At 36.0% G+C, this 25,165-nt stretch overlaps 1 protein-coding gene, 1 long non-coding RNA gene and 2 pseudogenes across 4 annotated transcripts in view, besides 1 other annotated feature; 3 read left to right on the top strand and 1 right to left on the bottom strand.

Annotated features, from left to right (window-relative positions):
* Positions 1-4,566, top strand: part of XNDC1N (XRCC1 N-terminal domain containing 1, N-terminal like) — a 63,086-nt gene extending 58,520 nt beyond the window's left edge. The window contains exon 7 of the mRNA NM_001375848.2: positions 4,221-4,566. Within this exon, the coding sequence (NP_001362777.1) occupies positions 4,221-4,238 (18 nt within the window). The 3' untranslated portion in view covers positions 4,239-4,566. The remainder of the gene's footprint in view (positions 1-4,220) is intronic.
* Positions 1-25,165, top strand: part of XNDC1N-ZNF705EP-ALG1L9P (XNDC1N-ZNF705EP-ALG1L9P readthrough) — a 123,614-nt gene that overhangs the window by 58,520 nt on the left and 39,929 nt on the right. The window lies entirely within an intron of this gene.
* On the bottom strand, positions 6,417-13,798 carry DEFB130C (defensin beta 130C (pseudogene); annotated as a pseudogene).
* Positions 8,225-8,425: a silencer, noted in NCBI's record as "peak1338 fragment used in MPRA reporter construct". NCBI's record gives its function as "represses an SCP1 promoter by STARR-seq MPRAs in K562 erythroleukemia cells {active_cell/tissue: K562}" and the evidence as "EXISTENCE:reporter gene assay evidence [ECO:0000049][PMID:32103011]".
* On the top strand, positions 24,830-24,879 carry RNA5SP342 (RNA, 5S ribosomal pseudogene 342; annotated as a pseudogene).

Below are 25,165 nucleotides of genomic sequence, written 5' to 3'. Positions count from 1 at the left end.
CTGCACAAGCTCTCTTGCTTGACACCACGTAAGACGTAATTTTGCTCCTCATTTGCCATGATTGTTAGGCCTCCCCAGCCTAACAATGTGGAATTGTGAGCAAATTAAACCTCTTTCCTTATAAATTACCCAGTCTCTGGTATGTCTTTATTACCAGCTTGAGAACAGATTAATACAGACAGCGACACCAAAGATTAAAGAAACATCAGTCTACACAGATTAAAAAGAAGCAGCACAAGAACTCTGGCAACTCAAAAAGCCAGAGTGTCTTCTTACCTTCAAGGGACTGCAGTAGTTCCTCAGCAATGGTTCTTAACTGGGCTGAAATGACAGACATATAATTTAGAATCAAGATAGGAATGAAGATCATCGAGATTCAGGAGACAGTTGAAACCAAATTCAAGGAATCTAAGGAATCTAATAAAATGATATGAGTTGAAAGACAAAATAGCCCTTTTAAGAAAGAACAAAACTGATCTGATAGATATGAAAAACTCTCTATGAGAATTTAATCATACAATCACAGGTATTAACAGCAAAATAGGCCATGCTGATGCAGACGTATGTTTATTGCAGCACTATTCGCAATAGCAAGACTTGGAACCAACCCAAATGCCCATCAGTGATAGATTGGATTAAGAAAATGTGGCACACATACACCATGGAATATTATGCAGCCATAAGAAAAGGATGATTCCATGTCCTTTGTAGGGACATGGATGAAGCTGGAAACCATCATTCTCAGCAAACTATCCCGAGGACAGAAAACCAAACACCACATGTTCTCACTCATAGGTGGGAATTGAACAATGAGATCACTTGGACACAGGAAGGGGAACATCACACACTGATGCCTGTCATGGGGTAGTGGGAGCGGGGAGGGATAGCATTAGGAGATATACCTAGTGTAAATTACGAGTTAATGGGTGCAGCACACCAGCATGGCACATGTATACATATGTAACAAACCTGCGCATTGTGCACATGTACCCTAGAACTTAAAGTATAATAATAATAAAAAAATAGACCATGCTGAGGGAAGAATCTCAGAAATAGAAGACTTGTTCAGTTAGACAAAAATAAAGAAAAAAGAATTCAAAAAGATGAACAAACCTCTGAGAAATATGGAATTATGTAAAGCGACCAGATATATGACTCACTGGCATCCCTGAAAGAGCAGGAGAGAAAGCAAACAACTTGGGAAACATATTTGAGGATATCTTCCATAAAAATTTCCCCAACCTCACTAGAGAGGTTGATTCAAATTTAGGAAATGCAGAGAACCCCTGCAAGATACTACACAAGACAACCATCCCCTAGACATATGTCATCAGATTCTCCAAGGTCGACATGAAAGAAAAAGTATTAAAGGCAGCTAGAGAAAAGGAGCAGGTAACCCACAAAGGGAATCCCATTAGGCTAACAGTGGACTGTTAAGCTGCAACTCTATAAGCCAGAGGAGATTGTGGGCCTACATTCAGCATTCTTAAAGACAAGAAATCCCAACCAAGAATTTTATATCCATCTAAACTAAACTTTATAAGCAAAGGAGAAATAAAATCCTTTTCAGACAAGCAAATGCTAAGGAAATTTGTTACCATCAGACATGCCTTAAGGGCAGAGGTCCTTAAGGGAGTGCTAAATATGGAAAAGAAAGAGTACCAGCCACCACAAAACACAATTAATTACATAGATATTGACACTATAGAGCAACACACAATGAAGTCTGCATAATAACCAGCTAACAACACAATAACAGGATCAACTCCACACATAGCAATATTAACCTTGAACATAAATGGACTAAATGCCCTACTTAAAAGGCACAAAGTGGCAAGTTGGATAAAGAAGCAAGCCCCAACTGTATGCTGTCTTCAGTGTCATTGCATGTAAGCCCATCACTCATAGGCTCAAAGTAAAGGCTCAAAGAAAGATCTGCCAAGCAAATGGGAAACAAAAAAGCAGGGGTTGCCATTCTAATTTCTGACAAAACAGACTTTAAGCCAACAAAGATAGAAATAGACAAAGAAGGGCATTACATAATGGTAAAGGGTTCAATTCAACAAGAAGACTTAGCTATCTTAAATATATATGAACCCAAGACAAGTGTGCGCAAATTCATAAAACAGGTTATTAGGGACCTACAAAAAGACTTAGATAACCACACAGTAGTAGTGGGAGACTTCAACACCTCACTGACAGCATTCGACAGATCATTGAGAGAGAAAACTAACAAAGATATTTAGGCCCTAACTCAACACTTGACCAAATGGACCTAAAAGACATCTACAGAACAGTCCACCCAACAACAGAATACACATTCTTCTCATCTGCACATGGTACACACTCTAAAATCAACCATGTGATTGGCCATAAAACAATATTCAGCAAATTCAAAAAACTTGAAATTATACCAACCACACTCTCTGACCACATCCCAATAAAAATAGAAATAAATATTAGGAAAATCACTAAAAACCATACAATTACATGGAAATTAAACAACCTGCTCCTGAATGACTTTTGGGAATGACTTTTGAGGCTGCATCTGGAACCACATGTAAGCAGGGCTGCAGCAGGGTCCACAGGCAGATGGCGGTGTTTCTGTGTTCATGGCCAGGACTATGACTGGTGAGCCTACTCCCAGGGGCATGGGCCTGCCTTCTCAAAGCAGTTTTCCTTGGTCTTGGGCTCTAGTGGGTTGTCATGACCTCCTGACTGGGTCCTGATGTTCCCACAAAGACATTTTATCCATGGATGGTTGCCAAATCACTGTTCTGTGGGTGGATGAAGGCTGGGGACCTTCTACTTAGCCATCTTACAGATGTTCTGTTTCATTTGTTCTTTGATTTCTTTTTCTTCTTTTTTTCAAGTAGTTGGGTCATTGTGATTATTCAATTTTTTTTGTTATTAAACTGTTGTGTTATTTAACAGTTGCTTTAGTGTTCATAGTATTGCTCTTTAACCCATCACAGTCTATCATTGGGTGTCATACTACTTTACATCTAATATAAAAACCTTTCAAGGTTATATGAGTTATGGTTCTTACAGCAGCAAAAATATTTTATTTTGTATTTTGAATATGGAAATTGCAATCTTTTTCTAGTGATAGTAAAATCCATTTTACTTGGACTATTTTCAAGTATTTTTGTGACTTGCCATTTATTTGGAAACTCTATTGTCTCGATCATATCAAATTTTCCAGAAAGATAGAAAGAACAAAACAAACTTCTAAATGTACAACTGGCAAAGGTCTGAGAGTATCTCAAGCTTTCATGTTATATAGTATTGCCTTTGTCTTTTTTTTTTTTTAGATGGAGTCTTGCTCTGTCGCCCAGGCTCGAGTACAGTGGCGCAATCTCGGCTCACTGCAACCTCTCCCTCCTGGGTTTAAGTGATTCTCCTGCCTCAGCTTCCTGAGTAGCTGGGATTACAGGCACCCACCACCATGCCTGGCTAATTTTTGTATTTTTAGTAGAGACGGGGTTTTGCCATGTTGGCCAGGCTGGTCTTGAACTCCTGACCTCGGCCTCCCAAAGTGTTGGGATTACAGGTGTGAGCCACTGTGTCCAGCCTGCCTTTGCCTTTATATAACAATAAAATTAACTCCTTTGGGGTTTATCAACTATGCCTTCATAAATTAGTATCAATATAATATGTTCCATGCACAGAATCATATCATTGTATACAGTAAACATGGCCTTCTCCAGAAGATATAGTCAAGTACTCCAACAGATTGCATGTAATTCACCCAGTCTTATTATCAAAAGGCACAGACAGCCTTTCCCCAGAAATCTTTTAAATGTCCTAAAACGTGGATTTCTGCACCTCTGGATGAGATATCAGAGCAACATTGCCCTAAAATCTCAATGGTTAAGATATGGTCAGGTATTTATAACAACAAGCACAGCAGTAAAAAAAAAAAAAAGGGGTTATCTCTAGATCTATATCTTTCAGATAAAGAGACATAATTCATCTTTGGATTGTCAGAAGACTTTTCTGATCTATTATTTTATACGTGAAGCTGTCTTTCTTTTTGAAAGTTTACAGGCAAAGTCTCTACTTGAGTGAATTTTCTAACTCCTATTTACTTTCAACTTTAACTGATAATTTCTTTACTATAGTGGTTTTCAACTAGGGACAATGTTGCCCTCAGAGAACTTTTAGTAATGTGTAGAGATTTTTATTTGTTTGTTTATTTACTTATTTTTTGCTCACAGGTGGGAGAAATGTTTTAGAGGCAAGAGAGGCTGCTAAACATCCTACAATATAAAGGAAACATCCCCACAGCAAAAAAAAAAAACTGTTCTTCTCAAAATGTTGACAGTGCTGGAGATCAGACACATTGCTCTACTTTATATTTTATTGTCTGTCCCTGAACTTCTTTATTAAATGGCCAATATTGTATGGTAAAATCGAGAGTATCATCAGAAAGAAAATTAAGAAAAACAATCAGAATTAGAAATTAGAGGCTCCTCTGCCTATGGAATAGCCATTCTTTTATTCCTTTGCTTTCTTAATAAACTTTGTCTCACTTAAAAATAAAAAGAAATTAGATTTTCTGGACTGATTCTTTTTGTTCCTTATCTTTTTCATTTCCCTTAGCTGTTTTTTCTTCTTGCTCAGAGATAAAAAACGTTATGTCCAGGCGCGGTGGCTCACGCCTGTAATCCCAGCACTTTGGGAGGGCGAGGTGGGCGGATCACGAGGTCAGGAGATCGAGACAATCCTGGCTAACACGGTGAAACCCCGTCTCTACTAAAAATACAAAAAATTAGCCAGGCGTGGTGGCGGGCGCTTGTAGTCCCAGCTACTTAGGAGGCTGAGGCAGGAGAATGGCGGGAACCCGGGAGGAGGAACTTGCAGTGAGCTGAGATCGCGCCACTGCACTCCAGCCTGGGTGACGGAGCGAGACTCCATCTCGAAAAAAAAAAAAAAATGTTCTTTTTGCTTCAGTGAGTTGAGATGTTATATTAATTCAATGTCAAGTCTCTGAAGAAACTTTCACTAATTCACTAAGACGGATAATAAGGAATGAGTGATTTTTTTTTTTTTGCTTACATTTAATAGAAAAATTTGTACTTAACAAGGGGAAGATAATTTCATTTCAGGCAGTAATTCATTTGGATTCTAATGTCTTTGTGCTTTAACATAGAGATTGAAGAGATTCAATCTTTGAACTTCAATTTATGCCTAGAAATTTTATAAGAACACTTGTTTATATTCAAATGTGGGAAATTTTTCTTTTTTAGCATTTTAATATAGGAGGTTATTTATGACTTTTAAAGTCTCTTAATGTCATTTAATTATCAAAGAATCTCTAATGTGCTACACTGGATAATGTAGTGGCACATAACTTAAGATGACAAAGAAGAGAAGATGTAAATTTTCAGCTATGTGTAAAATGTATATGGTAAAAATTGTATTAGTGTATTATTCTGAGATTAGCTTAGAATCTGATCTCAGAGTAATATGCCGTTCATGAGGGATTCTGAGAAGATATAGAAAAAGTAATGACTAGTATTGAAGAAACAGATCCATGAAGATGAGATTAGCGTTATTTTAATAGACTCCTGACATCTCTGCATAGGGAGATAACCCATCCTCCCCTGATTCATTGACCATAAGCTTTGTGGTTAAAAAAATACAAACTCTTGAATTTTGTTTGTGAGGTAATTTGGCCTCATTCTAGATGTTTTCCATCTTTGTGACACTCATGCCATGTCATACTCCTGGTATCCTCCCTGCCCTTTAATTTTCTTGGCCCCAGGAAATGGAGTTATCTGATGGAGAGTTTGGAAAGAACTAACCAGGCATGCTGAGTTAGCAAGTCTTCAGCTCTACAGCTCCTCCTAGTGAGCCTACTTGTAGAAAGCAGGTCTTCTTTTCTACTTCTCTAGGGGCAGGGGGCAGTAGAGGGGAGACCTGCTTCAAGTGCTGGAATGACTGGAATGGTCATGCGCCTAATTCTCAGGTGCAATGTTAGCAAGGTCACATGATTAGCAGGCTTTAACCCATATTATCTAAGTAGGTCTCTATTAGTAATGAAAATGATATTTGTTCAGAACTGGATGAGGAAGCAGACTGACATTGCACTTCAAATAATCAAACACTGCCTACTGATACTTCATATTCTTATTGTTCTACATATTTAACATTTTTATCTTTTTTTCTTAGAAACATATTTTTTATAAGTACCTATAGGGTATGCGATTCTTCTGTTATTTATTTTATTCTTATAGTTCTTAAGAGGCTTGCATGTGCATCAAGAAGAAATGCTCCAGGAGGCAGTCAGTACACGTGGGATTAGGACAACATTTATTTCCAGTCAAGGAAGAATAAGAAATTGGGTTAAACAGGAGTGCAAAATTTATCCATCCATTCTGGAGTTCAAAGGACTTAACGTTTGCTCCCACCTAAGGAGATTTTCCTTTGGGAACCGGAGTTGGATAGGGCTCAAGTATCCACCACCTTCTACATTTTTTTCCTTCATTACATATACCAATGGTATCATCTAGTGTGCTGCATAGTTTGTCTCTGCACACCCCTTTCAAAGCAATACACTGTTTTTGTCCTGGAATAACGCCAGTCTTTCCTACACAGGAAGAGATTTAAGAACATCATTAATTCACTATTGAAAATATACATAAAACAATAAACCCCCAGAAGAATGGCTTTGGGAGAGGAAAGAAAACATTGTCTATATGAAAGGATCAGACTCGTAGACAGAAATAGTGCCTTTTTATGGGAAGGGAGCTAAGATTGTAGATTATATACACCCTGGAGGAAATAAGCCAATTTCTAAAATTCTTTAAAGGGACTGTCCTCCCCTAGTGCAGTACATTTTGAAATGTGTGGGACCATTTGTTCTTGCCACCATGCCTAGGGAAGGTGTCTTTGGTATTTAGCAGATAGCACAGCATTGCTAAATTTTTCACCTAAGGAATTGTCTTGCACCAAACACCAACAATGCCACCACTAAGAAACAGTTTCAAAGGAAGTATGTGTCCCTCCAAATTCCCATCTGTGCATACATCATCCCTATCAAATGGTTCATGTTCATATCTTCATCTCCTTTCATAGAAAGCCTATCAATCCTTTAGATTTTATCTAAACTAATTTCCTCATTTCAGGACTATGCAAGAAATACCTTTCCTATGTTGCTCAATACCTCATAGATAGATGGAGGAATGGATAGATAGATAGATAGATAGATAGATAGATAGATAGATAGACAGACAGACACCTGGAGAGAATTACTCACAGAGCTAAAAGGTATTTTCCCTTAAGTGTATCCACATGTTCTCTTAATTCATCTGGTTGTTGAGAAGCATATGGCTAAGGGTGTGGTCTAATTCAGTAGTTTTCTCTATGCTTACTATCCTTTCTCTTGCCTTCTCAGCACAACCATAGTTTATTTTTCCTACTGTATATCACTGCAGATGTTACATAAGAAAAACACTTTTGCTGATGTTCATTAACAGACATTAGTTCCTGAACCATCCTGTTAACACACCTGGATCTTATTTTGTTTTTACTGTCCTCTAATATACTACCTCTGGCTTCTTTGCTTCTGTAGATGAGTAACTGTTTGGTGGCCTTTTCAGCTCTCAATCTTTTTGTTGTTTTTTGTTATTGTTTTGTATTTAAACTAGGCTATCATTATTGTTTCTCTATTCTGTAGAAATAAATCCATAGCCAGAAAAACCAATGCAGCCTTTTGGAACTGAGTGCTCATAACCTATGCAAGATTGTCTTCCACTCTTGTTAGAAGCTTCAACCTAGTGCAGTCTGGTATTATACTCTACTATCAGACTAGCAGTTTATAAACTCAGGGTTTCTGTGCACCAAGAGAATATCATGATGGGGGAGTTGGGTAATATCTTGTAATATTCTCTCTTTTTTCCAAGACTATTGTGGAAGAGAAAGTGGCTGCCTTTCAGAGAGAGACCTGAAGTCTCCCCAGCCAGTTGTGGAAGGCGCTGGTTCAACTGCATTGTCTACACAGAACACAGGCTTCATGCTGAGAAGCATAGCAGACCTGTTGCTAGCTGTTGGTCTTTTCCCTGATAACTTCATCCATACATTTAACATCTGGCAACATTGTCAGACTTTTTAAATGAAGCTAAAATCGGGGGTTATTAGTACTGGGAAAGATATAGTAAGAGGCAGAGTATGGCATCAAGGAGGCCTATGCATGTGAACTTAGAGGCATCCCATGCAAAATGAGGTGGAATGTGAATCTTCAGCTGAAGCCAAAAGAGTGAACTTCCTCTCAGTAGGATGCGTAACCCACTATACTGTAGAGTTCAGCCTACTGACACAGCATGTAGCCTAAGATAGTGCCAATTCCTCTATTTGGGAGCTGTCCCTTGCTTCACTCAAAAGGAGTGGAACAATTCATCCTACCAGTGATGTGCTTCTTGCTACATGGGAAGCTTAATTTAAAGAGGTATGCTTTGAGCATGAAGCCAAAGAGTTATAATCTCCCTTTTTACCGATGACTGTGACATATCATCATGCCAAGGGCACTAGTTTAAGTCAAAAAGATAAGATTAAATTACTTAATTCATATTCAGATTCATATTCCTCATTCATGAGGAAGAAAATTTCTTCCCAGATATTCACATTTATTTTCAGACTTATTGACAGAAGTATATACATATAGAGCAAAAGAAGAGAGGCACTCTCTAATACACTTTAGAGTTTATTTGACATTAATATGTTATAATGGTTATATCACATGGCAGTTGAGGAAAGGATGCATATTTAATAAGTGCCTTTGGAAAAAGAAACAATTTAGATGTTCACTTCATATTATATCACAACATTAATTTCCGTGGATGCAGTGAGAAGGACTTAGAATCACACTGGAAAAGACCCTTAATAGCGCATTCATCTACTTTCTAAAAGGATATAACTTTCTTAGCATTAGAACTCATTGAGTCAGTAACTTTAAAGTTTTTTTTTGGGTGATGTAGAGGATTTAAATGGAACAGGCTCTTCCTGGAACTTTATCAGTCAAAAAATAGAAGCGCAGTTTCCTTTTCTCTACATAATGTGAGTTCAAGCTGTCTTCTGCTCCTGTCCAATGTCATGTATTTAGATATTATGTTATTCTTCACAGTCAGTGTAAGAAGAATGCTATAATTTTCTTAATTCTCAGAGAGCTAATGCAGCAATCCAAGATTTATGCCATTCTAACCTCTTTAGACTCATATTCGCAGCATTTATATGTATGTTTGTGTATACATATAAATCTATATGAACTATTCCAATTTTTATAGGATACCATGGATTCTTTTTTGAATAAATATAAGGATATATAAAAAATATATTCAAGTAACTATAACTAAATATTCATCAGACATTAAGCTGATAAACTAATATTTCAGACTACGTAATTACTTTGGAGACATTTTTTCATGAAAACAATAATTTTTTTTACTTAATTGGATTTTTTGGGGGTAAAAATGTCTTTAACAAAACTCTTCATGATCTAGCCACTCAATTTTTCTTAAAAGAAATTTTATGAGATAAAAGTTACATAGGAGTTATAAAATTTCTAAGATTATCAGAATGCTTCTAGACACCTGATAAATTCTACATGCCCGGCAGTCACAGCAGAGATTAAGATCAGAATTTTTGGAGTGCAGTATTATTAAATTGTATAGACAGCTCAGCAATTAACTATTTAGTACTAAGAGACCATACAAAACTGATAATGAAAATCCTATTTTTCGACCTGAGTGTTCTGAGTCCCACTTCATAATGTGTCCAAGAACATCTCAATATGCACAAGTAAGGCATTTTGACCTTTACGTATGGTTTTAATATCCTCTGATCACAAGAAACCTGGCTATTCAAAAGTGATTCCCTCCTGTGCAGAATTATAGGACCTTCATTTAATGCTTCTTCCTGGTATAACTGATTTGGAAGGAACAAAGAAGGGCTGATATTTCTATTCCTCCAGGAAGATGTCACGGCTTGAAAGGCAGGCCTCTGAAGGATTCTTCTCGTATCTGTGGGGAGATTAACTCAGCTTTCAACCTCAAATAACCTCTTGTTCTTCATCGTTTATTTTATTGTGGTAATAACACTTAAAGTGAGATCTACCTTCTTAAGAACTTTTTAAGTGTTATAGATATAGTATTGTACAGTTGATATTTAGAGCTTATTCATCTAATAAAACTGAAAACTTTTACTCATTAAATAGCAACTCCCTATTTCCTCCTCCCTCCCCAGTCCCTGGAAACCACTATTCTGCTACTTGTTTCCATGAGTTTGACTATTTTAGGTACCTCATATAAGTGCAATCATGCAGTATTTGTCTTCTGTGACTGGCTTACGTCATTTAGCATAATGTCCTCCAGGTTCATCCAAGTTGTCACATATAGCAGAAAACCTCCTTAGTTTCCTCAATATATAACTAGAAGATTTTGAGAAAAAAGTCTGACAGAAATCAGAGTTATCATTTTTGTATGCATATCTACACCTATGGATTGATTAAAAACAACATTGACCCAGATTAAAGAGATTTGCTTTTAGCTGCAATGTTGCTACTACCTATGTGATCTGAGTAAAATCACATTCTTTATCTGTACATGGGTTTTATTATCTAAAATAAAAACAACTGCCACTAAATTTTATTTTAATTTGAAATTATTACCATCACATAATTTCACATCAGATGTCACTACAAGTGTATCTGACCTTAATTGTATCTTCTGACTAAAGCTGAGAACCAAATGAGAATTGCATAAGCTCCTTCAGAAGGAGACAATCATATGTGAGGTGAATCTCAACATGTCCACAGATTAGGTAAAGATCAAACAATTGAGTAGCTTTGATTTCACTTAAAAGAATCTCAGAACTGGAACAAAACAAGAGTGCCCTCTCTCACCATCCTACTCAACATAGTACTGGAAATATGAGCCAGAGCAATCAGCCTTTTGAAGTAAAAGGCATCCAAATAGGAAAAGAAGAAATCAAATTACCTCTTTTTGTAGATGATATTATTCTACACTTAAGAAACCCTAAAGATTCTTTCAAAGCCTCCTGGACCTGATAGACAACTTTAGTAAAGATTCAGGATGCAAAATCAATGTACAAGATCAGTAGCCTTTCTATATACCAATAATATTCAACCCGAGAGCCAAGTCAAGAATGCAATCCCATTTACAATAGCCACACAAAAAATTAAATACCCATGAATACATTTAACCAAGGAGGTGAAAGATCTCTACAAATGACACTACAAATCACTACTGAAAGAAATCACAGATGGCACAAATAGAAAAATATTCCCTGCTGTGGATTGGAAGAATGAATATTGTGAAAATGGCCATACTGCACAAAGCAATTTATAGATTCAGTGCTATTCCTATAAAACTACCAATGACATTTTTCACAGAATAGAAAAAACTATTCTAAAATTCATACGAAACCATAAAAGAACTCAGACAACCAAAATAATCCTAAGCAAAAGGAACAACACTGGAGGCATCATCCTACTTGACTTCAAATTATACTATAAGGCTACAGTAACTAAAGCGGCATGGGACTGGTACAAAAGCAGACACATGAACCACTGGAACAGAATAGAGAACCCAGAAATAAAGCTGCACATTTATAACCATCTGCTCTTTGACACAGTTGACAAAAATAAGCAACAAGAAAAGGACTCCCTGTTCAATAAATTGTGCTGGGATAGCTGGCCAGCCATAAGCAGAAGAATAAAACTGGATGCCTATCTTTCACCATATACAAAAAATTAACTCATGATGGATTAAATATTTAAATGTAAGACCTCAAACTATAAGACTCCTAGAAGAAAACCTAAGAAACACCATTCTAGATATTGGCCTTGGGGAATAATTTATGACTAAGTACTCAAAAGCAATTGCAACAAAAACAAAAGTTGACAAGTAGAGCCGAATTAAACTAAAGAGCTTCTGCAGAGAAAAAGAAACTATTAACAGGGTAAACAGAAAACAACAGAATGGGAGAAAATATTTGCTAACTATGCATCTGACAAAAATTTAATATCCGGAATCTACAGGGAATTTAAATCAACAAGCAAAAAACAAATAAAGTGGGGGAAAAGACATGAAAAACATGAACAGACTCTTCTCAAAAGAAGACATAGAAGCAGCCAGCAAACATGAAAAATAGCTCAACATCACTAATCACTAGAGAAATACAAATCAAAACCACAATGAGAACTATCTTACACCAGTGAGAATGGCTATTATTAAAAAGTCAAAAAATAGCAGAAATGAAGATGAGGCTGTGGAGAAAAGGAGTGCTTATACACTGTTGGTGGGAATATAAATTATTTCAGCCACTGTGGAAAGCAGTCTGAAGATTTCTCAAAGAACTTAAAACAGAGCTACCATTCCACCCAGCAATTCCATTACTGGGTATATCGTCCAAAAGAAAACAAATAATTCTACCCAAAACATACCTGCACTCCTATGTTCATCACAGAACTACTCACAATAGTAAAGACAAAGAATCAACCCAGGTGCTCATCAATGGTGGACTGGATAAAGAAAATGTGGTACATATAGACCATGGAATACTATGAAGCCATAAAAAAGAACAAAATCATATCCTTTGTAGCAACATGGATGATCTGGAGGACTGCAAATTAATGCAGAAATAGAAAACCAAATACTGCATGTTCTCACTTATAAGTGGGAGCTAAACATTGGATACTCATGGACATAAAGATGGGACACTGGAGACTACTAGAGTGGGGAGGGAGGAAAACAAGGATTGAAAAACTATTTGGTACTATGCTCACTACCTGAGTGATGGGATTACCATCATGCCCCAAACCTCACATCACAAAATATACCAACATAACAAACCTGCACATGTACCCCCTGAATCTACAATATAAGTTGAAATTATTTAAAAAATAATCTCAGAGATAAAGGGAGGAAGAGATCTTTGCTCATTGACCACACACTTTATTTTGGGGGATATGAACATCCCACTATTAACAGTGGAGATAATAATTTTATCATATCTTATCAGGATCTGAATGAAACACCCTGAAGATGTTTGATTCTTTATTCCCTTTTCAGTTTGATTCTACATTTTGATATTTAAACTTCTGAATCATGGACCCTAAGGATGCAACTACGAGTCTTGAAGTGTTTTCTGTACTGTTTGTCTTATGCTTAAAATTTTGCCATTAAAGCTTCATGCCACTGTTTATTCTTTTCCAAATTCCCTTGCTCCCAAATTTCTACTGGTCTTTTATAATTAGATGCAAAATTTTCTTGTTGAACTCTGTCTTATTTGCCTAACTGCTACCCTTCACAAATATTCCTCACCAATAGACTCTACATCACTTCCATTCACTACCGAGTTTGAACCAAGAACTATCATCTTCACTCTCCTTTTTGGAGAGTGAAGCCTTGATGATAGCTGTTTGCTTTATTTACTAACCTTTAAATCACATATCAAAGCTTCTATACCCCTAACTCTATTTCGGCCCCATTTTCTAATTATCGAGCTCTTGAACCCCCATTTTCTGTTGAAAGAACTCCTTGTCCTGCTTCTCAATTGTGGCCTCATTAGTACCAAAGAAGATAAACATGTTGAATTTCTGAATTCCTAAGGCTGTGAATTGGTGTCTGAGTTAGGATGGCCACAGTATAATTATCTCAGTAGACCTCCTCCGGTCTAGGCATCCCAATAGACTTCTACAATCATTCACCATCTTACCTTTTGGTATTAAAGTCACAAAGAGGAGGAGAACAGAAATAAGGGAATGGAGTTTCATGGTTGAGTGCCCAATAGAGAGGTGAGTGATCAGGGCTGGTGGAACACAGGGGCTTTTATTTAATTCTGGGGGCCTGAGGTTCCTCTTGTTCAGTGAAACTTAACAGAAAGGAAATAAAACAGCTTCCGTTGGAATATTTCCAAACTCGAAGTTCTCTAAATTTGGTGACAAATTAACCTAATTGTAGGAAACCAGATGGCTAACCCTTTCCTTTTTCTATGGCTCTCAATTTCACCAGAGGTTAATTAATACCTTTAGTTAATTTTCTTTTTTGAATGGGGCCAAGAAGTAAAGCCATGTGGGTACAGAACATCCTTATTGCAAAAGTCCTAGGGCTTGTAAGGAAACATTTCCATAATACACTGTTTTTTTTTTTTTTTTTTTTTTTTTTTTTTTTTTTTTGCAAGAGGGACAAGAGTATTGTCTAAGGTCCATTTATGACAAGCTATTTTTTGTTTTTTTTTTTTGAGATGGAGTCTCGCTCTGTCGCCCAGGCTGCAGGCTGGAGTGCGGTGGCGCGATCTCGGCTCACTGCAAGCTCCGCCTCCCAGGTTCACGCCATTCTCCTACCTCAGCCTCCCCAGTAGCTGGGACTACAGGGGCCCACCACCACGCTTGGCTAATTTTTTGTATTTTTAGTAGAGACGGGGTTTCACCGTGTTAGCCAGGATGGTCTCCATCTCCTGACCTCGTGATCTGCCCGCCTCAGCCTCCCAAAGTGCTGGGATTACAAGGCCTGAGCCACTGCGGCCGGCCCTGAGGTGTTCTTAATCACATCTGAAAGGTGGATACATTTAATTCATATTGAAAACAAATATTTTTTCATCGTTATGGATCCTTTGTATAATTATCTCATACAACAAGACAAGTAAGATCAGGAGAGTTGAAAGATAAAAGACAGAGTAAAGTGCGCAGCTCCTGTCAAAAGACTCTGAGCCTATACCTTAAAGAGATTCCCCTAACCTTTCACCCTAACCCACCACATAGCAACAAGATATTGAAAGCTTAAGAGCATGCCTTTAATCAAGAATCAATTGACCAAAATCCAACTTACCCAAAACAAATTTACCTTCTGTTCAATTTCTTATTGGCATATTTCCCTGAATTGATATTTTTTTAAATTTGTAAACTTTCATATATCGTGTCAGTCTTTTTTGAAAAATTCTATATACATATATAATATAACGTTTATATAGCTTTTATTTGACTACTTTTGATCACTTTCATGTTAGCTGATGTATTTATGAACATTTGCTAATTTATTTCTTCATTAATAATTTATGCCTTAATAATTTTAGGTTTGCATAAATGTTCCAAAAGACTAATATTCAAAATATTTTTTGAAAAGTATAACAAAGCCAGAGAATTTAGACTACCTTGTTTCAAGACAAAGCTACAATAATGAAGACACTGTGATACTGGAATAAGGAGAGACATAGTTCAACAGAACATAATAGAGAGGCAAGGATAAGACCATCATATGAATGGTCTGTATATGGGTAAGATCATATATATTTATCCATGCTCAGTGATTTTGACAAAGGTGCTAAGTAAAGTCTTTTTTTTTTTATGCCCTCATTCTTGTTTATGTAACTAATTCAAGTGGTTCATGCGCAGGTTTGTTACATGGATAAATTGTGTGTCCTGGGGGTTTAGTATACAGATAACTTTCCCAGATATTCAGCATATTACTCAATAGGTAGATTTTCAATCCTCACCCTCCTCCCACCCTCCACCCCCAGGTAGGCCTTAGTGTCTGTTGTTCTCTTCTTTGTGTCCATGTGTATTCAGTGTTTAGCTTCCACTTTTTTTTTTTTTTTTTGAGGCAGAATCTTGCTCTGTTGCCCAGGCTGGAGGGCAGCGGCATGATCTCGGCTCACTGCAACCTCCGCCTCCTAGGTCCAAGCGATTCTCCTGCCTCAGCCTCCTGAGTAGCTGGGACTACAGCTGTGTGCCACCACGCACCACTAATTTTTTGTATTTTTAGTAGAGACAGGGTTTCACCATGTTAGCTAGGATGGTCTCAATCTCCTGACCTCGTGATCTGCCTGCCTCAGCCTCCCAATAGCTTCCACTTTTAAGTAAGAATATATGGTATTTGGCTTTCTGTTTCTGTGTTAATTTGGTTAGAATAATGGCCTCCAGCTGCATCCATGCTGCTGCAAAGGACATGATTTTTTCTTTTTCATGGCTGCATAGTATTCCATGGCGCATATATGCCACATTTTCTTTATCTAGACCACTGTTGATGGGCATCTAGGTTGATTCCATGTCTTTACTATTGTGAGTAATGCTGCAATGAACATACACATGCATGTATCTTTATGGTGGAATAATTGATATTCCTTTAGATATATACTAAGTAATGGGATTGCTGTGTCAAATAGTGCTTCTATTTTAAGTGTTTTGAGAAATCTTCAGGCTACTTTCCACTATAGCTGAACTAATTTCTATTTCCACTAGCAGTGTATAAGCATTCCCTTTTCTCCAAAGCCTCACCAGGGTCTGTTATTTTTTGACTTAATAGTATCTATTCTGACTGGTGTGAGAGGGGATCTTATTGTGGTTTTGATTTGCATTTCTCTAGTTATTAGTGATATTGGGCATTTTTAAAAATATATTGGGTGTCTCTCTGTATGTCTGCTTTTGAGAAGTGTCCATGTTTTCCAAATTTTTAAATAAAGGTTTTAATTTTTGCTTGTTGACTTAAATTCCTTAGAGATTCTGGATATTAGACTTTTGTCAGATGCATGGTTTGCAAATATTTTCTCCCATTCTGTAGTTTGCTGTTTACTCTGTTAATAGTTTTTTTTTTTTCTCTGCAGAAGCTCTTTAGTTTAATTCGGCTGCACTTGTCAATTTTTGTTTTTGTTGCAGTTGCTTTTGAGGACTTAGTCATGCATTATTTCCCAAGGCCAATGTCGAACATGATGTTTCCTAGATTTTCTTCTAGAATTCTTATAGTTTGAGGTCTTACATTGAAATCTTTAATCCATCTTGAGTTAGTTTTTTGTATATGGTGAAAGGTAGGCATTCAGTTTCATCCTTCTTCATATGGCTAGCCAGCTATCTCAGCACCATTTATTGAACAGGGAGTCTTTTCCCCATTGTTTATTTTTGTCAACTTTGTCAAAGAGCAGATGGTTATAGGTGTGCAGCTTTATTTCTGTGTTACAGCAATCTTTATCTCTGGAATAGAGATTCTGTTCCGATGGTCCATGTGTCTGCTTTTGTACCAGTCCCATGTTGTTTTGGTTTCTGCAGCTTTGTCATATAGTTTGAAGTCAGGTAGTGTGATGCCTCCAGTGTTGTTCTTTTTTGCTTAGGATTACTTTCACTCATCAGACTCTTTTTTTTTTGGTCTCATATGAATTTTAAAATAGTTTTTCTAACTCTGTAAACATGTCATTGATAGTTTGATAGGAATAGCACTGAATCTGTAAATTGCTTTGAGCAGTATGGCCATTTTAAGAATATTGATTCTTCCTATCCATGAGCATAGAATGTTTTTTCATTTGTTTGTGTCGTCCATGATTTCTTTCAGCATTGCTTTATAATTCTCACTTAGAGATCTTTCATCATCCTGGTTAGCTGTATTCCTAGGTATTTTTATTTTTTCTTCCAGCTGTTATGAATGGGATTTTGTTCTTGGTGTGGCTCACAGCTTGGTGTATAGAAATGATATTAATTTTTTATACATTGATTTTGCATCCCAAAACTTTACTGATTATCAGGTCTATGGCCTTTGGGCAGAGACTATGGAATTTTCTCATTATAGAGTTATATCATCTGTGAAGAGAGATAGTTTGACTTCCTCTCTTTCTAGTTGGATGCCTTTTATTTCTTTCTCTTACCTGATTGCTCTGGCTAAGATTTCCAGTCTTTCAACTAGTCGTTCTGGAGAGGGAGATACAAACAGAAGTCATATAACCTTTTATTATGTAGCCTGAGAAGTCAGAAAGCATCGTCTGCACTGTATTTATTAGTTAAGGCAGTTACAAAGGTTTGCCTCAGATCAAGCAGAGGGAACATAGACTTCACCTCTCAGTGGAGGATTATCAATGTTACATTATAAAAAGTTCTTGTGGGATGGAATGCATATTTTTAGAAAACTACAACTTTTGGAAATGCATTTTTGAAAAATACAATGTGCCACTGTAGCTATAATTTTTTTTCAGTTTCAAAAATATCAATTTTACATGGTTCAATCCATTATGCTCTTGACTAAAATTGCCAGAATTTTAATGTCCTCCATTTTTAATATTGGGAATTGTTGTGACTAATAAGTAATAATAATAGTATAATGAATAAATTATATGGTACAAATAGTATAATAAAAAGGTTGTGGTGTAGTGACATCAGCAAAAATGAAATAAAAATATTCAAAATTTTATCTCTTTATAAAATATACTAAAAAACTGGCAACAACTGTCAAAATAAAGCTTTTTAGAACTCTGAAAACTAACATAAGGTTTTTAGCAATGTAGGGAGTGCTAATTCTAGCAAAATATCCCATCTCAGTAAGAACATCGATTTGTGGTTTTTAACTTACCCTGTTTCCATTCTTCTCAGAGAAGCAGCAGGCTTGAAAATAATGCCCAGATTCTTAATACCAATGCCAGAAAAACAGAATGGACCTCATTCATGAAAAATTGATCTGCCTGTTGACTCCTTCAAACATATTCTCAAAAGCCTTGTTTTTTCACCTAATCTGGACCTCACGCAGTGGGAAAGCTGCTACTTGGTATGGGGTGGTGTTAGAAAACATTTACAGAAAGACATTATAAATACTGCTGCCTGAACACTGGGGAAAACAATAGACTAAACAAAAATCTTGAGAGAAAGTACTGGGAATGAGATGCTTTGGGGAATATGGGCTTTGAAAAGCTTCAACATATTTCTGAGAATTTGCAAACTGTGTATGTCAAGGCTGTGTGCATGTTCAGTAAAAACCTGGGAAATTTCTACCTTCCCTGCACAAGCAGAAAGTGTAGGCCAAGGCAGAGTTGTAAACTGTCTGCCTGAGTGTTGAAAGCAGGGCCCAACACATACACAAAGCCCCTCTGCAAGTTCCAAACACATATGGAAATCTTTGTCAAATTATTAGCTGACTTCTAAGCTAATGGAAAAAATATTTTAATCGACATAGGTGACAAAAAATAGAGACCACAAAGTTTATTCAGAAAAGATACTAAACAAACAAATAACTACAACGAGGAGTACAACGTGGGGAGGAGGGAGAATCTTGTTTCTAGAGTGGCCACATTATCATGTTTAAAATGTCTGGTATTCAAAAAAAGTATGAGACATACAAAAAGAAAAAACTGAAGAAAGTATGGCACATGGAAAAGAAAAAATGCAGTTAATAAAAACTACCCCTGAGGAGATCCAGACATTGGCCTTAATAGAAACAGACTTTAAATCAACTATTTTAGATATGTTCAAAGAGCTAAAGGAAATGACATCTAAGGAACTAAAGAGAAACATGAGAATGATATCTCACAAAAATAGAGAATATCAATAAGAGACAATTTTTTTTAAAAAAAACATGAGAATGATATCTCACAAAATACAGACTATCAAAAATGTTTTTTAAAAAAATATTATTTATTTTATAATGTTCTTTTAAAAAGAAATCAAATAGAAATTCTGGAGTTGAAAGATAAAATAATGGAAATGAAAAATGCTCTAGAGGGCTAAACAGCAGATTTGAGGAGGTACAAAAAATTAGTGAACATGAAAATAGTTCAATTGAGGTTATCCAGTTAGAGAAAATCTCAGTTAGAGAAAAGAATGAAGAATAATAAATGGAGCCTAATAGACCTGTGGAACACCATCAAGATATCAACATATGCATAATGGAAGTTCCAAAAAGAAAAGAGAGAGAGAAAGGTACAGAAAATATATTTGAAGATATAATTGTCTAATACTTACCAAATTTTATGAAAAATTTAATCTACATGTACAATAAGCTCAATGTACTCTAGATGGATAAACTCAAAGAGACCACCCGAAGACATATCATAACCAAATGGCTCAAATCCAAAGCCAAAGAGTAAATCTTGAAAACAGTAGGAGAGAAGAGACTTATCATTTATAGTAGTTCCTTTTTATCCATGAGGGATACATTTCAAAACTCCTAGTGAACGCCTGAAACCATGGATAGTATTGAATCATACACATATTATATTTTTTAATACTTACAATAACATTTAATCAAAGATTAAAATTTGATAATTTTAATATATAAATTAGGGGGAGTACTCTTGCATTTTGGGGCCATTATTAAGTAAAATTAGGGTTACTTGAATACAGGACTGTGATAGTGTGACAGTCAATCTGATAACCAGGACAGGTGCTAATTGACTAATGGGTCAGTAGCATATACAGGATGAATATTCTGGACAAAGGAATGGTTCACATCCCAAGTGGGATGAAGCCAGATAGCATGAGATTTCATCATGCTACTCGAATGGCATGCAATTGAAAATTGTTTATTTCTGAAATTTTCCATTTAATATTTTCAGGTGAAAGTTGACCATAGGTAACTGAAGCCATGGAAAGTAAAATTGCAGATAAGGGAAGATCAGTTATTAGTGATTCACAGTAAATTTACAGCTGACCTCTTTTAAGAATGCAGTAGGATGATAAAAAATTCTATGAGGAGTTATTTGGGCTGAAATGAAAGAACATTATATAGTAATTTCAAACACATAAAGGAGTAAAAATGCTGGTGTGTGCGTGTGTGTATCTTTAATAAAGGTAACTTTAGTATATATAAGCAATGTCCTCTTTTCTTCTGATTTAAAAACAACTGCACATCACATTGCAGCATTACTCACAATACCCAAGCTATTGAAAAAACCTAAGTGTTTATGAACAGATGGATAAAGGAATTATATACATAATAAAATATCACTCAGTTTTGTAAAGAAGTTTCTTTCATTTGCATCAACATGGATGAACCTAGAAGACATTATGCTAATAATAAATCAGGCACAGAAAGAAAAATACTGCACTATCTCATTTATAAGTAGACCCTAAACAAAAAAGCCCCACAAAAGCCCTAAGAAATAGAAAGGTTAGAAAGAGGCGGGAGGCGTGTGGAAGATGGAAGATGAAAGCCAAAGGGTACAAGTTTCAGCTATATAAAATAAATATGCCTAGAGATCTCATGTACAACACAAGAGCTGTAGTTAATAATGTATCATACTCCAGAAATTTGCCCAGAGTAGATTTTAGATATTTTTACCACAAAAAAGTAACTATGTGAGATGATGGATATGTTAATTTGCTTGATTATGGCAATCATTGCCCTAAGTATATATGTATATGTATATATACACAAACATAATATTGTATATCTTAAATACAGTAAAAAGAAAGTCAATGCATAAAGCAATAAATATAAACCTATGTTGGTGATCATACAGTGTATAAAGATGAGATGTGATTTAGGTTGGGCCCAGTTGCTCACCTGTAATCCCAGCACTTTGGGAGGCCGAGGCGGGTGGATCACCTGAGGTCAGGAGTTCGAGAGCAGCCTGACCAACATGGAGAAATCCCGTGTGTACCAAAAATAGAAAATTAGCTGGGCATGGTGGCCGATGCCTGTAATCCCAGCAAAAAAAAACAGGGGTTGCAATCCTAGTGTCTGACAAAACAGAGTTTAAACCAACAAAGATAAAAAAAGACAAAGAAGAGCATTACATAATGATAAAGGGATCAATTCAACAAGAAGAGCTAACTATCCTAAATGTATATGCACCCAATACAGGAGCACCTAGATTCATAAAACAAATTCTTAGACACCTACAAAGAGGCTTAGACTCCTGCAAAATAATAATGGGAGACTTTAACACCCCACTGTCAATATTAGATCAACAAGACAGAAAATTTACAAAGATATGCAGGACTTGAACTCAGCTCTGGATCAAGTGGACTTAATAGACAACTACAGAACTCTCCACCCCAAATCAACATAATATATATTCTAATCAGTGCCGCATGACACATATTCTAAAATCGACTGCATATTTGGAAGTAAAACACTAGTCAGAAAATGCAAAAGAACTGAAAATATAACAAACGGTCTCTCAGACCACAGTGCAATCAAATTAGAACTCAGGATGAAGAAACTCACTCAAAACCACACAACTACATGGAAATTGAACAACCTGCTCCTGAATGACTCCTGCGTAAATAATGAAATTAAGGCAGAAATCAAGAAGTTATTTGAAACCAATGAGAACAAAGACAACGTACCAGAATCTCTAGGACACAGCTAAAGCAGTGTTAAGAGGGAAATTTATAGCACTAAATGCCCACATCAGAAAGCTAGAAAGATTTCAAAAATGACACCCTAACATCACAATTAGAAGAGCTAGAGAAGCAACAGCAAACAAATCCAAAAGCTAGCAGAAGGCAAGAAATAACTAAGATCAGAGCAGAACTGAAGGAGATAGAGATATAAAAAACACTTCAAGAAATCAATTAATCCACAAATTGATTTCTTGAAGAAATTAACAAAATAGAGCACTAGCTAGACTAATAAAGAAGAAAAGAGAGGAGAATCAAATAAACACAATAAAAATGATAAAGGGGATATCACCACTGACCCTATAGAAATACAAACTATCACTACAGAATACTATAAATATCTCTATGCAAATAAACTAGAAAACCTAGAAGAAATGGATAAATTCCTGGACATATACACCCTCTCAAGACTAAACCAGGAAGAAGGTGAATCCCTGAATAGACCAATAAGAAGCTGTGAAATTGAGACAGGAATTAAGAGTCTAACACCCAATAAAAGTCCAGGACCAGACTGATTCAGAGCTGAATTCTACCAGAGATGGAAAACCAGCACAAGACAAGGATGTCCTCTCTCACCGCTCCTATTCAACATAGTATTGGAATTTCTGGCCAGGGCAATCGGGCAAGAGAAAGAAATAAAAGTATTCAAATAGGAAGAGAGGAAGTCATATTGTCTCTGTTTGCAGACGATGTGATTCCCTGTTTAATAAATGGTGATGGGAAAACTGGCTAGCCATATTCAGAAAATTAAAACTGGACCCCTTCCTTACATCTCATACAAAATTTAACTCAAGAGATGGATTAAAGACTTAAATGTAAAACCCAAAACCATAAAAATTCTAGGAGAAAACCTAGGCGATACCATTCAGGACATAGGCATGGGCAAAGACTTCATGACGAAAATGCCAAAAGCATTTGCAACAAAAGTCAAAATTGACAAATGGGATCTAATTAAGCTAAAGAGCTTCTGCACAGCAAAAGAAACTATCATCAGAGTGAACAGGAAACCTACAGAATGGGAGCACATTTTTGCAATCCACCCATCTGACAAAGGTCTAATATCCAGAATCTACAAGGAGCTTAAACAAATTTACAAGAAAAAACAACGCCATTAAAAAGTGGGCAAAGAATATGAACATCAACATCACTGATTATTAAAGAAATGCAAATCAAAACCACAATGAGATACTATGTCATGCCAGTCAGAATGGTGATTATTAAAAAGTCAAGAAGCAATAGATGCTGGTGATGCTCTGGAGAAATAGGAATGCTTTTACACTGTTGGTGGGAATGTAAATCAGATCAACCATTGTAGAAGACAGTGTGGCGATTCTTCAAGGATCTAGAACCAGAAATACCATTTGTCCCAGCAATCCCATTACTGGGCATATACCCAAAGGAATCATAAGTCATTCTACTGTAAAGACACAAGCACATGTATGTCTATTACAGCACTATTTACAATAGCAAAGACATGTAACCAACACAAATGCCTATCAGTGATAGACTGGTAAAGAAAATGTGGTAAATATACACCATGGAATACTATGCAGCCATAAAAAGGAATGACACCATGTCATTTGCAGGGACATGGATGAAGCTGGAAGCCATCATCCTCAGCAAACTAACACAGGAACAGAAAAACTAACACCGGAACAGAAAAACTAACACCACATGTTCTCACTCATAAGTGGGAGTTGAACAATGAGAACACATGGACACAGGAAGGGGAATAACACACACCAGAGCCAGTCAGGGGATGGGGAGGAGGGGAGGGAGAGCATTAGGATAAATAGCTCATGCATGTGGAGCTTAAAACCTAAATGAGGGGTTGGTAGGAGCAGCAAACCACCAGGGCACAGGTAAACCTTGCAACAAACCTACACGTTTTGCACTTGTATCCCAGAACTTAAAGCAAAATGAAAAAATAAAAAAAAAGTAGTACAAGAACCTACTTGTACTACTTGATGGTGGTCATCAAAACACCACCATCATTCTTCAGAGTTAGAAAAAACAATTCTAAAATTCATATGGAACCAAAAAAGAGCCCACATATCCAAAGCAAGACTAAGCAAAAAGAACAAATCTGGAGGCATCACACTACCTGATTTCAAACTGTACTATAAAATCATAGTCACCAAAACAGTGTGGTACCAGGAAAATATATACATCAAAATATGTGCACTTAAATAACATAGCATCAAATTTATTAAACAAAAATTGAGCAACCTACAAGGAAAAATGAAAAAATTCCGAACTATAGAGGGAGATTATAACTTATTTTTCTTAGCCATTCAAAGAAAAAGACGACTTTAAACATTAATAATACATTGGATGTTAATAAAAATTTACTATTTTTATGAAGTGAATAATTACAAAGAACTTCAACAACTACAGAATACAATTTTAATAGGACATATTGAATATGCACAAATATTGACCATATAACGATTTGTTCTACATGCCAAATCTTAACAAAAGTCAAATAACTGACACTCTACAGAAAGTAGAGTGTCACACTGATATGAAATTATAAAAAAAGGGTTCTAAAACCCAGTTGATTAAAGAAAAAAATCTTAGTGAATAAAATATATTGAAATTAAAATATTACTTATTAAAACTTTTGGATTCCATTGGTACAATATTAAAGAGGAAATTCAGAGTCATAAATGCTGATACTAGAAAATAATAATGGTGAGTCTTTGGCAATACCATCATGAACACTCCTGATCTCATCTGATCTCAGAAGAAAATAATAATAGAAAACAGAAACATCTCAGTCTTTGCAGTATGAATTACAAAGAAAATAAAATGCACAAATAAAAATAACAGGAAAAAAGGAAGCATCTTTAAATATGCAAAACCATTAAAGAAACTTGACAAAATTAACTCAAGGTGAAACAGAAAATAAGAATGTTTTCCTGAATTAATAAAGCAAATAATTCTGTAATCAATAAAGCAACTAATTCTGTAATCAATAACCTCCTAAAAAAGAAGGCACTTAACTTATATTTTCAACAACATTTCAGAAATTTAAAAAATTTTAAT

This window comes from Homo sapiens, chromosome 11 (genome assembly GCF_000001405.40).
Source record: "Homo sapiens chromosome 11, GRCh38.p14 Primary Assembly".
Lineage (NCBI taxonomy): Eukaryota > Metazoa > Chordata > Mammalia > Primates > Hominidae > Homo > Homo sapiens.
The sequence above is the reverse complement of the archived record's forward strand: the minus strand, read 5'-3'. Positions and strand labels throughout refer to the sequence as shown.